The 17,751-nt window shown below is 36.1% G+C and overlaps 1 protein-coding gene across 5 annotated transcripts in view; it reads right to left on the minus strand.

Annotated features, from left to right (window-relative positions):
• Positions 1-17,751, minus strand: part of ASCC3 (activating signal cointegrator 1 complex subunit 3) — a 373,136-nt gene that overhangs the window by 352,580 nt on the left and 2,805 nt on the right. For 3 of the 5 annotated variants that reach the window (NM_006828.4, NM_001284271.2, NM_022091.5), the window contains exons 2-3: positions 7,135-7,265; positions 3,291-3,441 (exon numbers count right to left, since the gene is read on the minus strand). In NM_006828.4, the coding sequence (NP_006819.2) occupies positions 3,291-3,441; positions 7,135-7,224 (241 nt within the window). In that variant the 5' untranslated portion in view covers positions 7,225-7,265. Of the gene's footprint in view, positions 1-3,290; positions 3,442-7,119; positions 7,266-17,751 lie in introns of those variants that run through there. The other 2 variants (XM_011535394.4, XM_047418108.1) reach the window with 2 other exon arrangements.

Raw genomic sequence — 17,751 nt, forward strand, 5'->3', positions numbered from 1 at the left:
AGAGAGAGGAAAAGCAGTACGCACTATTCAGGAAATTCAGACAGTAAACACTGCATATGTTGGCATAAAGGTTGCATGTGATTCAATGGCAAAGAGATAAAAAAGTAAATCGTGTCAACTCATAAAGGAGTTTTATGTATCATTCTAAAGAATCTGATCTAAAAGGTAAGCTGGGAATAAAAATGAGCTTTGCCTTTGACAAAGATCAGTCCAGTGACAGTGAAGAAGGTGGATGAGAAAGGAAGGCTAAAGCAAACGACTACTGAAGTAGTTCAGACAGGAGGTGGTAAAAGGCTGAAATGGGGCAATGGTAAATATACAGAGTAAATTTAAGAACAGCTGAAAAGTAGACTTACTAGGATATGACCTCTAACTACAAGGAAAGGAAAGCTAAAAATCTAGGATTTCTACCATACTTCTATTTCAGAATTTAGATCTAGGCCTACTTTCAACACATACAAACCACAGGATTCACTTAACTTTAATGGGCCCTGTTTCTTCACATACAAAATGAAGACATTAGACAAGATGTCCTCTGATATTTCCTCCAGCTTAATGTCAATTGTCCAGATTAAACAATACGCATAGCCTTAAGTGTCTCATAATATTATACTCAAGTGAAATATTTTTTTCTTTATTCTCTTGCTTAACCTTTTTAATACAATTATAGCAAAATTGTCTATGATAGAAGATAAATATAAGAGAAATGACAGGGACATTTTCCACATGAGACTAATCCTTTCAAAGCTGGTAGCTTTAATTACATTTCCAGTATCAGCATTTTCATCCAGAAGGGACAGCTGACTACTACTCAACTTAAGTTTCACTAAACCTAATAGTTATTCAACTGAAGCACAGCATTTAAAAATGGGTATAAAAGATTTAGAATTTGCCTACATCCAACTTAAGATTTTATTTGTCTGAGAAATATTCTTTTGAGACATTAATCTCAAAATAATCCCTTAAACGCATGGGCCAGGTGATCAGTCCCTAAGTATGAATCAGATATTTACTTCACCACAGGTACAATCCCCAGAATTATATTTAATGACTGGTATTTAAAACAATCTTTTTTGACTTGTGGCCAGAGATAGCCAGAGAAAGCAATCTAAAGGGTTTTCTTTTTTTAAATCTTAAATTCCACCTTATTTATGTAAAGAAATAAACTTAGTCATGGTATTGAATAAGCTCAATATGTCATTACATTTTTGCTCAGTATTTAGAGGCATTTTTATAATAGAACTAAAGAAGAGGAAGGACACTCTGTATAGTTTTTGAAAAGTACTTTAGTCAGATTCTGGAGGCCTCAACATCTTACAAATGAAGATGTGATGAAGACCAGGAGGGTTAAGATCCTAGTCAAGGTGATGTGGAAGACTGTATTTTCGCCACTACTTTTCAAACAACCTGCCTCTGTATTCTTAAAATATAAAGTCTAATTCTATGCCAAATGCCATTACAAACCTCATCAAAGTGTGTTATATTGCCCCTAGGCTTAAGCAAACTCAATTTTTACTAATGTCCTTGAACTTCGGAAGATCTAACTGTACAAACATGAGACATTTTATACTTTCACAACTTAAAACAATGAGGACATTCAATTAAATATCATACTGGGTTACAGACCAATGATAGTTAAATGACATATTTTAAAAAGTTAACATATTTGGAAAAAAAAATTTATAGATTTGATGATCATAAAAAGTTTTCAAGTCTATGAGACGTAACAGAAACACAATCCAGAGCTGGTACATGGAATAAAATTGCCAACCAGCAAGCATATGGTAAGGTAAGGATCCAAATTCTCTCTCTACCAAGGAATCACCTGAGAACAGTTTTTTCATTTATTTAACAAATGAATTTTTATTAAGACCCTAAAATATTGTGGGTTCTAGTATAAGCACTGGCGATGGAGAGTTTAACAAGAATAAGATCCTATTCTCATGAAACTTACATCAGAGTGATAATAAACAAGTAAAATGTCAGACAATAATACATGTTATGGAGAAAATGTTATGAATGATTATAAGATAAAGAGTGATTGGGTAACAACTTACTGGCAAAAAGACCTCATTAAGGAAGTAATTTTTTAGCTGAGTTTAAAATGACAAAAAGGGATCTACCATCATTAAGATTAGAACAGAGCATTCCCAACACAGAGAGCAGCATGTGTGAAGACCCAAATCAGGTACTAGCCTGGTAGGTTTGAGGAAGTTGAAGACAGACGTGTTTGACACAGTAATGAAGGCAAGAATGAAGTGAGGTCAGACAGAGGGGAAGGCCAGATCATGCAAGACCAGAATAGGTGTATGGACATTTTATAGTTGCAAACCTGCTAAATTTGGAAAATCTAGAACTATAATAGTGTTAATTATGCTTTTTAGTTATCAGAATTTGCAATATGATGAATTTCAATGTACAAACACAGGGGTTTTACCAGTCATTTGTTTCATTTAGTTTGATTTTTAGCCTTAGGAAAGTAACCTGAGTTCGTATACAATATTGTAATTTCAAATTACATTTTCCTTCAAATATAATCAATTGATAAGAATATTAGTGTAGGAAGGGAAGTGAAGCAGTCAAAGTCTAGTTTAAGTGCTGTTATTCACTGTGTACTAGGTGGGCATCTATAATAAGCGACTGAGCTACATAGCTTTTAAGCTTCCTTAGAGCTACATTAAAATTTTAATTTACTTTATCCTTATTTTAATCAAGACAGTGGTTTTCAAACACTGAATTCCTACAAATCCTTCATGCTAGATAGTATTATAATTACTAATTTACTTCTGCCTATCCCCAGCCTGTCACTCTCTATCCGAAGCTCGCTGATAGATACGGACTGTCTTTTTTTTTCTGTTCGAGACAGGGTCTCACTCGAGTTGCCCAGACTGAAGTGCAGTGGCATGATCTTGGCTCACCACAGCCTCAACCTCCCAGGCTCAGGTAATTTTCCCACATCAGCCTCCAGAGTAGCTGGGACTACAAGTGCACACCACCACACCTAGCTAGTTTATTTTATTTGTATTTTTAGTAGAGACAGGGTTTTGCCATGTTGCCCAGGCTGGTCTCGAACTCCTGGACTCAAGCGATCTGCCTGCCTCGACCTCCCAAGGTGCTGGGGTTACATGCATGAGCCACCGCGCCTGGCCAGGACTGTCTTTCATAATTATGAATACTTAGATGCCAGGAAATTTTAGCTTTCCTTTACATAGTATGTTGTTTACAAGGAATCTGTTTTTGAACCTTACTGGTTCTCTTTAAAAAAAAAAAAGAAAAAAAGAAAACTATACCTATCTGCTTTGCAGCATGTAATATATCTTTTAAGTCTTCATTTATACTTTGCATTTTACTCTTCTCCAGTTTTTCATTCAAAAATTTTATTATCTTCTTCCATGTCAGGCCCAAATCTAAAACTTGTTCATGAAGTTTAGATCGCTTTATCTGAAACAGAGATTATAATGTAGAAAAGTACTGCTTAAAGTTCTTCTCAACTCCAACGCTGATTACATATATTTTGCATTACATTATACAACTTGGTACTACCCACAAGAATTCAAAGTTGTATCTATTCACATCCAAACTGACTACTCACAAAACAATTTTACTTAAATGGGTGTTCATAGATTCTCATTCGTTGAAAAGATATGTTTAATAAAAGCTTCTTTTTACAGTTTTAATTACACTGCATACTCATAAAATCATTTCATACAGCAAAGTAAAAAGTTCAACATCCAGATAACAATATTATTATTGTTACTGATAACATCACACATCTTGCCATTTTTCTAACTGCTTGTTTTTAATATAGCTTAGACTATAGTGTATATAAATAAGAGCTTTATGTCATGCTTTTTAATGAAACGCATTTATGGAAAATTAGACTCCCATGACAGGTTCAAATATATTCAAGTCAGCATTACTTTCTTAACCATGATCCTAGACCAGGTGAGGCATTTGGAAGATTCTTTTCTATACACACTCTTTTCTATTAGGTGGCTTAAACAAGAGAAATTTATTTTCTCACAGTTCTGGAGCTACAAGTTCAAGATCAAGGTGTTGGCAGGTTTGGGTTCTTCTGAGGCTTTTGTATATTTGAGACTACAAATCTTTCCACTCTCAAGAACTGACCACAGAACACAATAAAAATTTTATTTCAGACCTCTGGCTTTGATCCATAGAGAAAACTCATGAAGCTTTCAAACCAAATGAAAAAGTAGTGGGTCAGGTAGAAAGCAGTAATTTTGCTATTGGTTAGAATGATGAAAATACATAATTCACCATTACTTCCCTGCCTCCATTTTTTAATTTCAAATGTGACTAGTCAATCTGAGTTTAGGGGGAGGAGAATGGGCAAAGGTAGAGATGAAATAAGATTGGCCATAAAATGAATTAAGTTGTTACAATGGAGTCGTAAGCATATTAAGGTTTATCTTATTTGTCTCTTTACTTTTGTATATGTTGAACAGCTTCTGACATAAAAAGTTATATTAAAATGAAGCTCATCATTATACCACTTTCCTTCCTCAGGGAAGAAAAAAATGTTTAAAAGTTTATAGGAATTAATAAGATGGGATAAGCTTGTAGTACTTACACACTTTTAAATTTTAAAATCTTCTGTTATATCTCTAATACAGAGTAACTTGCAAAGGGCCTTGGGGAGGTGAAGAGAGGAAATAATTCAGGTTTAAGATAGCAATATTAATATACTCTTGTTTTAACTGCTGTGAACAATGTAAAACAGCTACTATTGAAAAGAAGGTTAACTGTTTTGTATCTAACCAAATTTTGTATCATTAGAGAAAAAAAAATCTATCACAAACCTGTTACAAAACTCCTTCCCGGTATCAATCTTTGAGTGAAACTATTAGTTATAAAACTGCATAAGGACTTTTAGCAATAAAATTCTAATCTACTAGGAAACAATGTTATCATTCTACAATAGATTCAAATGAGTCAGCAATTAAAGTGAATGATGTTTTTCAAAAAAAAGGGCCAGTTACTTCATATACTATATTACATGGTTCATTTCTTCGTATGTTCAATTGATAGAGCTTCAGGCCTATAAAATTCACAACATTATGGCTAAGCTTCTAAAACATTTGCCCTTTCCCTGTGACATTTATATGAAACCTGTTATTATATTTTGTGCAAGTTTCAGCAACCTAGAGATAAATAATTTCATTTATTTATTTATTTATTTATTTATTTATTTTTGAGATGGAGTCTCGCTCTGTCACCCAGGCTGGAGTCCAGTGGCACAATCTCAGCTCACTGAAACCTCTGTCTTCCAGGTTCAAGCAATTCTCCTGCCTCAGCCTCCTGAGTAGCTGGGATTACAGGCGCCCACCACCATGCGTGGCTGATTTTTGTACTTTTAGTAGAGATGGGGTTTCACCATGTTGGCCAGGCTGGTCACGAAGTCATGACCTCAAGTGATCCACCCGCCTAGGCCTTCCAAAGTGCTGGGATTACAGGCGTGAGCCACAGCGCCTGGCCCTAGAGATAAATAATTTCAAAGATGTCCAAAATACATTCAAATGACATGAATGGCTACAGCTTTTACTCTTTTGTTTCTTGTGCCTTTTGAAACAGAAGATTTATGTACTTCAAAATCACATTCAGGAAGAAACCACAGTAATTTAAAGATTACAAGTTCATTCATTCATCACAGTAGTGAAATCATCACATCTACTAATTGATCAGAATCCGTACGTTATTGGCTGCATATATACCCTCAAAATTCATATGTGGATTCCCTAACCTTCAGTACCTCAGAATGTGACTATCTTTGAAAATCGGGCCTTAAAGGGGGTGATTAAGTTAAAGCCCTTAGAGTGGGACTTAATTATCTGATGGATCTTGTAACAAAATTTAGACACATAAAAAGACACCAGGGATGTGCTTGTACAGAGGACAAATCATGTGAGGACACAGCAGGAAGGCTGCCTTACTTGCAAGCCACACAGAGAAGCCTCAGAAGAAACCAAGCCTGCCAACACCTTGATCTTGGACTTCTAGCTACAGAACTATGAGAAAATAAATCTTTGTTGTTTAAGCCACCTAATCTGTGGTATTTTGTTATTCTGTGCAAACTAATATACCACATTCAGAGACATTTCTAAGAATCTTTCCTTTAAGTATCTTATAAGTACATGTCTAGAATTTTCTGGAAGTCTTGATATCATATGCTTTTAATTTTTCCATAATATTAAAACTTGTAACTGCATATGTAATTTATTTTATACCTTTTTAAGACTTATATAAGTTTATCCATCAGAAGAAATTACTTGCCAAACGTCATGCCCTAATTTGTGATTCAGAAAATGTAGTCATTGAACCTATACAGGAAAGACACTGAAGAAGTTCCTTCGATAAAACAAAAATGATCTTCCAAAGTGATAATTGCCCATTTTTGACCTAGTGAGATTTACCTGTATTTGTAGGAAGGGTAACATTAGCATTATTTATTATAATATTAACTCATATAAGGAAACTTTTCCATACCATAATTACTAAAGCAGGGGTCAGTCTTTACTATAAATGTCAAAGCAGTCCATGTACATTTAATTTTTGTTTCTTACTAAAATGTATTTCTGAAGTTTTAGTCACAAAGTAGCTTTTAAAATAACAATGTTTCTTAAGTCTTAAATGCCTTTCTTACCAATTATAATGACAAATCAATTATGAGATCAGCCTCTGAGTTCAAGAGATTAATATTCATATTTCTCATAAGGTACAGACACTGCTTTTGTTCATTTGATAAGAATTTTACCAGAGACCTACTGGTAAATTTTACCAGAGACCACTGGTAAAAAAACTTACTCAGATAATCCAGAGGTAAATTACAGGATTAAGTTACAAACGTAACTGTGGTAGGGAGCTGAACAAAAAAAAAATTAACAAAGGATTCAATTATCATAGTTCTGATTATTCCCCTTGACAATATGGTTTTAGATGCTAAACGTAAGTATTACCATAGTAAACAGCAGCATACACATTCTCCATCTTTGCCTCACACCAAACAAGATAAAACTTCCATGTTAACCACATAGAATGGAGAAAAAGAATGTCAAATAGTTGTCCATAGTCTGTGTTTATAATAATGTTCAACATTTCTACCTTTAACAAATCTACCTTTAAGTCAGCCACTTCTTCATTATAATTATCTTGCTTGGTGACATTTGAAAAGGAACGCAAGGCTCCTGTGAGACGAGGTAAAGCCATCTATTATTCAATCAGTGATCCATACAGCAAGAAACCTGAAACTGAAACAAAACAAGATGATATTTATCTGTTCGGAAGAGGTGGCAGAGGTAATCAAACTCAACAAATTAGCTTGTACAAGAGAAAAAAGGAAAAAATTGGTTAAAAAGCAATTGTTATCAACGTTGAAAAATTCTCCTGACATATTTTCTATCCATGAAGTTTTTTTGTTTTTAAAAAGCATTAGCTATGGTTGGAGAAAGGAAAAAGAAACAAACATTTCCTCAAAATTGGGTTCTGTAGATTCCCAAGTACAGGCATCAAATACTATATTACTACTGCCAATAATATTTAAAGAGATGAAACCACCTGTTCATCTTTTTCCCTAATTTTGTTTTATGCTCACTGATTTCAAATTACACCACTTTCCAGTGGTTTCCTCTGCTTGGAATGGTTTCCCTTGATGTTCGTATAGCTGGCTTCACACTGAACTCTTGGCTTAAAAGATGCCTCCTAAGATGCAGCCTTTCCTGACCACCCCATCTAAAACAGGCGACCCAGTCGCTGTCTATCAAAGCCCAAAATTTTAATTCTTTTTATAGCACTAAGTAATATTTGACACTTTCTTGTTTATTTACTAACGTATGTGTTGTTTCAACCCACAAAAAGTAAGCTTCATGACAGAAAGATCTCTATTTTACTAATCTCCCCAGCAAATAGACAACAGAACCAGAATATTTTTGGTACTCAATAAGTATCTGTTAATGAATAAATGGAAGATAAATGAAGAAAAGGCAAAAATGGTAACAGACTGGACAACAGGCCAGAAAAGAAAACAGCTGATGAGGGGGAAGAACATACCGGGAAAGAGAGAATTCAGATGGCCTGGTCTAATCTCCTCCTTAACAGGCTGATGACTAAACAATTTCCAGGCAAAAAGATTAATAATATTTACTATTAGGAGAGCCCTGATCTATGAAAGACTCTTGGAGGACTGTACTAGTTTAAGATTGCTTATTATAACACAACTACTATCTACAGATCTATAAGGCACGGCTCCCTGAAGAATGTCACATAAGCTATGTAAGTCTTTAAAACATCCCAGCTAGGAATGATTTTGCCCCACATGGGACATCTGGCAATATTTTAGATATTTTGGGTGTCACAACTATCAGGGAGGTGGAAGGGGACTACTGATTTCTACTGGATAGAGGCCAATGATGCTACTAAACATAAAATGCAGAGGACAGCTCCCCAACAACTAAGAATTATCTACACCAAAATGTCCAACGTGGGAAGGAAAGAACTGGGAAAGGGGAGACATACAGAATGTCTCAGACTATTCTCTGCTCCTGCTGTTCCTCTTGACTACTGTATTCCTGAAGTTATCAAAAAGGGTAATACTTGGAAAAATCTATGACCTATATATTAGAATAATCAGATACAAAATATCTATCTATAACAACTATAATAGAAATTTTTTAATAATGAATAATAAAATACAAGTAGGATGATTTGAAAATACAACTTTTAGAAATAAAAATATATACTTGTTAAATTTTAAAACAATCAACAGATGGGTTAAGCAACAGCTAAAAATAAAAGTGATAACCTGGAAAAGACTTGAAGAAATAACCCATGCATGCTGTCACAGACTAAGTATAGATAATGCAGGATAAATAAAAACAAATTGAAATATATCAATAATCATAATAAATACAAATTAAACTTACCTCTCAAAAGATTGACAGGATGAACTGCAAAATAACAAAAAAGTAAAACACTAGTGCTACACTGAAAACATAGGAAAGGAAAGGCTGAAAGGATAGGATAAGATCTTCCTGCAAACAACCAAACGTAGCTGGTGGCTCTATCAAAAATATCAGATCAGACAAAATTGGCTTCAAAACAAAAGGTATTAGGAAGGGATTAAAAAAAACCTCTCTACATAATAATATAAGATAAAGCTCACTAAGAAGACTTAAAAGTTCTGAATTTGTATGCACTGCTAGGATAGTCTCAAAATAAAACAAACAGACCTCAAGGAGAAAGTGACAAGTCTAACATCAAAGTAAAAGTTTAAATACTTCAATTATTGTCAGGTCAAGCCAATCTTCCCTCCAAAATAAAAAATCAATAAAGATATAGAGAACCTGAAGAGTACAATTACTAAGTCTGATTTAATGAACAAATATAGAAACCTGAACTTGATTTTAAAAAATGCATATTTTTAAAAATGCATTTTTAATGCATTTTTTAATGCATTTTTTCTCATGCGTCAGGAGGCTGATGCATGAGAATCGCTTGAACCTGGGAGGCAGAGGTAGCAGTGAGCCAAGATGGCCCCACTGCACTCCAGCTAGGGTGACAGAGTGAGAGTCCGTCTCAAAAAAAAAAAAAAATTAGGTTTGGCAAGCGCAGTCTCTGCCATACATTCATTCCTTTTTTTAAAAATGACACTTTAGAAGTGTAAAACCCATTCTGGGGCTCAGGGTGACCAAATCTGTTTACTGATCCCTGATAGAGGTCACATTCTTTGAGCAAAATATTTATTACAAATCAAAAACAAAAAAATGAGGTATTAAAAACAAACATGATTGCACTGCAAATCAGTAAAGAACTGGTATGAGGACAGCTGGGGAAAAAACAGTTGGACTCTCTACATCACATTGGAGAATTTTAAACAGAGAAGTCAAATGATCCAACTTACAAATAAACTTCTAAGTTAGCTGACTTCAGATTTCAACTACCTGTTGGGAGTGAATTCAGGAGAGCATGGAAATAAGATGATTCAGGGAATCACATCTGGATTTTTCTAACACTAGATAACATACTTCCTGGAGCATTTGGAAGAAAAAAATGAAAGCAAGAGTCAGTGGACAGCACAGAGCAGAGATTCTCAAACTTTATTATATATTGAAACTACCTGCAGGGCTTCTTGAAAAACAAACTGGCTGAGCCCTACCACCTTACTCTCTTCACCCCAATATTCCAATTCAGCAGATCAGATGGCACTGAGATGAGGTTTGAAAATTTACATTTCCAACAACTTTGCAGATGATGCAGTAGGTCAAGGATCGTAGTTGAGAACCACTGTCTTAGAGATGATGTCTTTTATTCTTTTTTTTTTTTCTTTTGAGACGGAGTCTCACTTTGTTGACAAGGCTGGAGTGCAGTGGCGTGATCTCGGCTCACTGCAACCTCCACCTCCCAGATTCAAGCAATTCTCCTGCCTCAGCCTCCCGAGTAGCTGGGATTACAGGTACGCACCACCACGCCCGGCTAATTTTGGTATTTTTAGCAGAGATGGGGCTTCCCCATGTTGGTCAGCCTGGCTTCAAACTCCTGACCTCGTGATCCGCCCGCCTCGGCCTCCTAAAGTGCTGGGATTACAGGTGTGAGCCACCATGCCTAGCCAATGTCTTTTATTCTTAAATCACCGCTTAATTTTGTCTCAAGCCAATAATGGCCAAGGAAGAAATTCATCTATTAAGAAATCCATGGACTGGGGGCCAGGCACAGTGGTTCACACCTGTAATCCCAGCACTTTGGGGCCAAGCCAGGTGGACTGCTTGAGGCCAGGAGTTTGAGACCAGCCTGGGCAACACAGTGAGACCCCCAACTCTACAAAAAAATTTTAAAAAGCCAGGCAAGTGGCATGCACCTGTAGTCCCAGCTACTCAGGAGGCTGAGGTGGGAGAATTGCTTGAGCCCGGAAGGTCAAGGCTGCAGTAAGCCATGATCATGCCACTGCAGTCAGCCTGGGTGACAGAAATCCATGGCCTGAATTCAGTGCATAGCCTGGCTCCTACCAGCCTTTCTCAATGGGGGTCTGTAAGAGAATACAACTCTTTTATTGAAAGTGACTTGACTTTTTCTCAATTCTCCCAAGAATTGTACACAGTACACAGTATGTTTGTACACAGTACACAGTATGTATGTACACTGTACATGTCATCCATAGAGAGGAAGTAAGGTATACAATGGATGCCAAAGCATTGGGGTTTTTATTTTCTACCCACACTGAGACACTGCAAAAATGTATTCAAGATAACTAAATTTAGTCAAGTCTTTAAAGAAAGGCTCTGATAGTAAACTAAACATACTCTGCCTCAGAACCTAGAACCTACCTTTTACCACACAAGTTAGTGCTTTCAAAATGTAGCATCAGAACAAGAAACATGATGTATTAATACTGTGCCTCTGGCATGGTCTTACAAATTAATGGGGTACTTGGGACCACTACTTTCACCATTTTTATATACATCACAGTAATGTCCTGAATCCTCTGTGCCTTTCTTTTTTAAAAAGTAGAAAGCAAGACTTCATTTTTATTCTAACTCACAAACCTAGCAAATCCTAACAAGATAATACACTCAACCTCTAAGAAGAGATCTAATATTAGGATTCGGTAATGAGGTCACATTGTTACAAACTACAGTAACTGAAAACTTTAAAGCTCCCTGAGACCTGAGTAGAAAAAAAAAAGGGTCGGGGGGGGATCATGGCAGACGGGAGGCAGGACTAGACTGCAGCTCCCACTCTGACAGAGCACCGTGTGGAGTCTTGCATTGTAAACTCTTGCTCCAGAATGACGGCAGGAATAAATCAGGAAAGCCAAGAGAACCCACAGACCTTCTGAAGGAAGCAGATTGCTCCTGCAGGGCCCAGGATATACCCCAAATACTGTGCTGGTATCCATGACTGAGAGACCCACAGACGGTTCACATCACAGGTCTCTGTGTAGACAACCCCCAGTACCAGCCCAAAGCCTGGTAGACCTGCTGAGTGGCTAGATCCAGAAGAGAGACAACAATCACTATAGCTTGGCTCTCAGGAAGCCATATCCCTAGGAAAAGGGGGAGAATATCATCAAGGGAACACCCCGTGGGACAAAATAATCTGAACAACAGCCTTGAGTCCTAGACCTTCTCTCTGACAGACCCTACCCAAATGAGAAGAACCAGAAACCTAACACTGGTAATATGACAAAACATGGTTCTTTAACACCCCCCCCAAAAAATCACAGTAGCTCACCAACAATGGATCCAAACCAAGAAGAAATCCCTGATTTACCTGAAAAAGAATTCAGAAGGCCAGTTATTAAGCTAATCAAGGAAGCACCAGAGAAAGGCAAAGCCCAATTTATGGAAATTTAAATAAACAATAAATGAAGGGAGAAATCTTCAGTGACATAGACAACATAAATAAGAAACGAAACTTCAGGAAACAATGGACACATTTATAGAAATGCAAAATCCTCTGGAAAGTCTCAGCAATAAAATTGAACAAGCAGATCTTCAGAGCTCGAAGACAAGGTTTTCTAATTAACCCAATCCAACAAAGGCAAATAAAAAAGAATAAGAAAATATGAACAAAGCCCCCAAGAGGTCTGGGATTATGTTAAATTACCAAACCTAAGAATAGTCAGCGTTCCTGAGGAAGAAGAGAAATCTAAACGTTTGGAAAACATATTTGGGGGAATAATCTAAGAAAACTCTCCCAGCCTTGCTAGAGACCTAGACAATCAAATACAAGACATTCAAAGAACACCTGGGAAATTCATCACAAAAAGATCATCGCCTAGGCACACTGTCATCAGGTTATCTAAAGTTAATATGAAGGAAGGAATCTTATGAGCTGTGAGGCAGAAGCACCAGGTAACCTTATAAAGGAAAACCTATCACATTAACAGCAGATTTCTCAGCAGAAACTCTACAAGCTAGAAGGGATTGGAGCCCTATCTTCAGCCTCCTTAAACAAAACAATTATCAGCCAAGAATTTAGTATCCAGCAAAACTAAGCTTCATAAATGAAGGGATGGTACAGTCTTTTTAGGCAAACAAATGCTCAGAACACGCCACTACCAAGCCAGCACTACAAAAACTGCTAAAAAGAGCTCTAAATCTTGAAACAAATCCTGGAAACACATCAAGTAAAGCTCCCTGAGATCTTATCAAAATAATCAGCATGAAATTATGCTTGTTAAGGGAATGAAGCAAAGCACATTACCAGATTTGCTATTTTTATTTGATGTGTTTTCTTCCCCAGGTTGAATGAGCAACACTAAAAATGTAACAGCTCATTAGTTCATTGTTACCTATAAATCATTTATACACAAATATTTGAGTTTCTCCTATCTACTAGGATCTGGGCTAGGCACTGGATGTTAATGAAGTTTACAGTTCTTCAAAACTCATTGCATTTTAGGCTGGGCGCGGTGGCTCACACCTGTAATCCCAGCACTTTGGGAGGCCGAGGCAGGCGGATCACGAGGTCAAGAGATTGAGACCATCCTGGCCAACATGGTGAAACCCCGTCTCTACTAAAAATACAGAAATTAGTTGGGCGTGGTGGTGCGCACCTGTAGTCCCAGCTACTAAGGAGGCTGAGGCAGGAGAATCACTTCAACCCGGGAGGCAGAGGTTGCAGTGAGCAGAGATCGCACCATTGCATTCCAGCCTGGCAACAGAGCAAGACTCTGTCTCAAAAAAAAAAAAAAAAAAAAAACAACTCATTGTATTTTGTACCAGGAAAAAGATTCCCTTTAAGTTTTATTTGAAATGTATAAAGGTCAAATTGAGAAAACAAATTTTAAATATTATGTTATTCATTCACTAAGCAAATATTTATAGATCACCCACCATATATTAGATATTTTATGAGGCTCTAGAGATTAAAAAAAGAAAAACATTTTGATATGATTGCACTTGCCCTCAATGATGAGCTTACAGTATGGTTGGGAAGAAAGAAAAATAGTTGCAATAATTATGCAGCTATAACTGTAGGAAGACAGGGAAGGAGCATCTAAAGGGGTGGGAGGGCACTAGATATAAAGAAGGAAGCTGAGCTTGAGCTGAGACTTAAAGGACCTAGACAAGGTTATTACAAGAGGTAAACTATGAGGGGGAAAGCCAAAATAACAGACTTAATTACTTTTAAAACCCCTACAGAATGTGCATTTGGAAACTGATGAAATAAGACCTAAAAATGTAAGCAGAGACCAAACAACATGTCTCAAATTAGGCACTTTTCATTCTGATAATCAGAATCACTGAAAAAATACTAACATGTTACAGAAAAATTACTCAGATTTACATGTGGTGAACTGTCAAGGTGGGGTCAAACAGGACACAGGCAAACCAGTTGGGAAGTTATTTCAATAAACCAACTGAAAGACAGAGAGGATAGAATTAAGCCAGGGAAACACATAAAAGGATGGATTTAGGAGATCAGTATACTTGGAAGACAGAATCAATGTGGAATAGGATTTAAAGAAGGAGAAAGGAGCAGGACACTCAAATTTCTGGCTTAGGAAATGTTGAAGAGTGGAGGAGTCTATATGTATAGAGGGCATCAGGAAGAGGAATGATAATTCTGTTTTGGAAAACTTTAATTATGGGCTATCAAGTGGGGCATATGGTTTTGGATTTCCTATCAGAGGTCTGGGCTGGAAATCCAGAATTTCATGTTATCACTTCATCATAGTTAAAACCATGGATGAACATAATATTGTCTAAGTCAAATATACATAAGCCCATGGACCCTCTTCCTAAGAAAACAGACATACATACATATAAACAACATTTTGTACTCCATTTCAAAAGCTGCATGAATGCCCATTCATGCACTCCACCCCTAAAGGCCTCTTGGAAGTAGACAGTAGAGAGTTAAGAACAGAGTTCTAAGAAAGTGATCCACAAATCAGTTGTCATATGGAAAAGTGATATGACAACAGAAAAGAAAGTTTCAAATGACATGATACAGTCCACTGTACTCAGCCACTCTGCGGTCCTAGATGACTAGCACACCTAGTTTCCAAAAATGGTAGAAGCTAAATCTCAGTGAGTTGAAGGATAAACGCAAAGGGAGAAAATAGGGAAAAAACAAACAAACAAACAAAAAACCCTACAAATGGGTACATGCTATTCTTTCAAGAAAATGAGAAAGAAAAGGAGAAAAAGTAGGAAATACTGAAATAATGTGGTTTAAGAGTTTCTGAAAATAAAGGATAGAGTTGATCATGATTTTATCATAATCAGGGGAGAGCAAAGAGAGAAGGAAAAGTTGAGCAATCAGGAGAAAGACTGTGACTGATGGAGTAGGGTCTCTGAGAATGCAGGCGAGAATGACAACAAAAGCATAGGTCTAGAGAGACTTGGATAGATGAAGGAGTACGGAAGGAAGGATGAGTGGAAGTGCATATGGTTATAACATGGTTAAGCAGAGGGTGAATGAGGAGAGAAAAACATGGTAAAAGGGAGTTCCACCAAAATGACTCTGATTTTATTTGAGATATGCTAAGACTGTTCAAACAGGTGATGAGGTGGGATTTTTTCTAACACAGAGGCAAAAGTCTGAACTTACCACCCACAATAATAGAAGAAATATTTTTCAGGTAGCAATGAATGCTCAGCTCATACTGCAAACAATTTAAGGTGGCAATAATCTGGCATAGGAACAAAGGTTGGTGTGAACCAGGGTTAAGGTTTTGTAACACAGAGGCAGTGGGACAATGAAGCCTAAATGATAAGGGTTATTAAGTGCTTAACTTTAGGCCTAGATGAAAGGAAAAGATGTTCAACTAGGAGGTCTTAAAGATGAATCATAACATTCATAGTTAAAATTTCTGGTAAGATCACAGTGAATAAGGATTAAGAAAAACTGGCCTACATATCAATTTTTACCTTACTAATTTTTACTCCACATTTAATATGGTCCACTAAATGACAAATATATAAATGAAAAATTCTGTTAATAATAAATATTTAATGCCCCAGAACAAATATAATTTCTAAAGGATTGAAACCCTAAAAGCCTACTTCTGTTCGTCAGAAGTACTGGCTGTGGCTATCTGAACAAATCTTTAAATTGTTAATTAAACATACGTACAGGTAAAAAGAAAGTCTTAAAAATGTAACTGTCCTTTTTTACATTCCAAATAAGGAGAAAACTAAACTGATGGTAGCATATTTCCTTTTGCAAGATGATATTAACCAATAATCAGTGAGCTAGAATTCCAGTACACACTATTCTGAAGTACTACATTTAAAATTGTAATGTTTATTCTTCTTAAACCAAACCTGTGTTTCTAAACTCTAAAGATGGTCTGACTGCTTGATAGCAACTTTAGGAAAAGATAGTTACTGTATTTTTTCGTTATAAAAATATGAAAAGATCTCCAAAACAGCCAAACTATATTTCCTAATAAGTTTAAAGTCAGCACTTAGTTACTGGCAATTATGGATACTAGGGAATTATTAAAGGGACAAAAATAGTCAAAGTGATATACTGCAGATTAAGGGATAAAAACACTGACATGAAGGAGTAGGTTGTAAATGGAGTAAAATTAGAATTTAAGATTTCAGTACTTAAAATAGAATCTTGTACCCACAAACCACACCTTGAAAAATGAACAGTGAATAAATATTAAACAGTGAATAAGAATATTTATATTTTATTGTGCCTTTTTTAAAAATTGAGTTGTGATATTGTTAACATTAGCAAGATCAGAACTCAGAAAATAACCATCGTCGACACATATTTATAATCCTCCATTATGCGATTTCAAAAGGGGGTGATTTTTTCATGATAAATCCTAAAGATAATTTAATTTCTTACTTGTATTAAACCTTATTACCATCAATTGGTTCATACAGCAGAGTCTAGGCACATTTAACTTTCTTGAATCTACCAAACACTGTAGGCCAAAAAAAGGAAGGCAGAGACAGACAAAAACAATAATTACTAGAGATTCTGCTTACCATTTCAGGTATTGAATATCTGCTCCAGAGTGAATGGGGGATGGGCAACAAGAATCTTGCTCTTTTAGTCTGTTTCAATCACCACATGCATCTCAAAATGTGAGCATCTTGCTGCATTGCATGATTCTAGTTTTTAACACTTTTTCTCTTTTTTTAAAAAACATACAAGGTGGTGACCAAACACAGAGCAACTTTTTCACTGGGAGTTCATCTAAAGAAACTGTGATACATTCCAAGTCAGGATGAAAAACATGGCTGTGTAGGACATGCTGAGAGACAGCATGTTATGCCAACTTGATGTCCTTTTAAGGGATTCTCAAAGGTAATCTTAGCTATTCACAGTTTCCACCTAACAAGTTCACTTTAGATGCTAACTCATTCTTAAGCAAGAAGCAATTGCTCCTGAATAGTTCTCAATCAAGTTAGGAAACACATCTGAAGCATGCAGAACAGAGAAAGCATGACAAAAATAATAAAACACATAAACACTTTTCACACAATACAAAATATATAATGGTTAAAAACAACCAAATTTCTATGGGGCTCTTATTCTCTAACTTATCCTCTAACTAGGTTTCCCATTCAAAGGTGGGGGAAAAAAATCCTGGACAGGCTCATAACTATAAAGCAGATTAGTCTTTATATTCAGAATATTCCCCCCCAAAGTTGTGTTAATTTTACTTTTAGCACAGGGTAAGGAAGGCTTTTCCTTTAAATGTCCTTGGGAAAACAAATAAAAAAAAATATTTTAACACCAGATAAGGACAAGCATAGTCAGAAAGAA

This window comes from Homo sapiens, chromosome 6, assembly GCF_000001405.40.
Source record: "Homo sapiens chromosome 6, GRCh38.p14 Primary Assembly".
Lineage (NCBI taxonomy): Eukaryota > Metazoa > Chordata > Mammalia > Primates > Hominidae > Homo > Homo sapiens.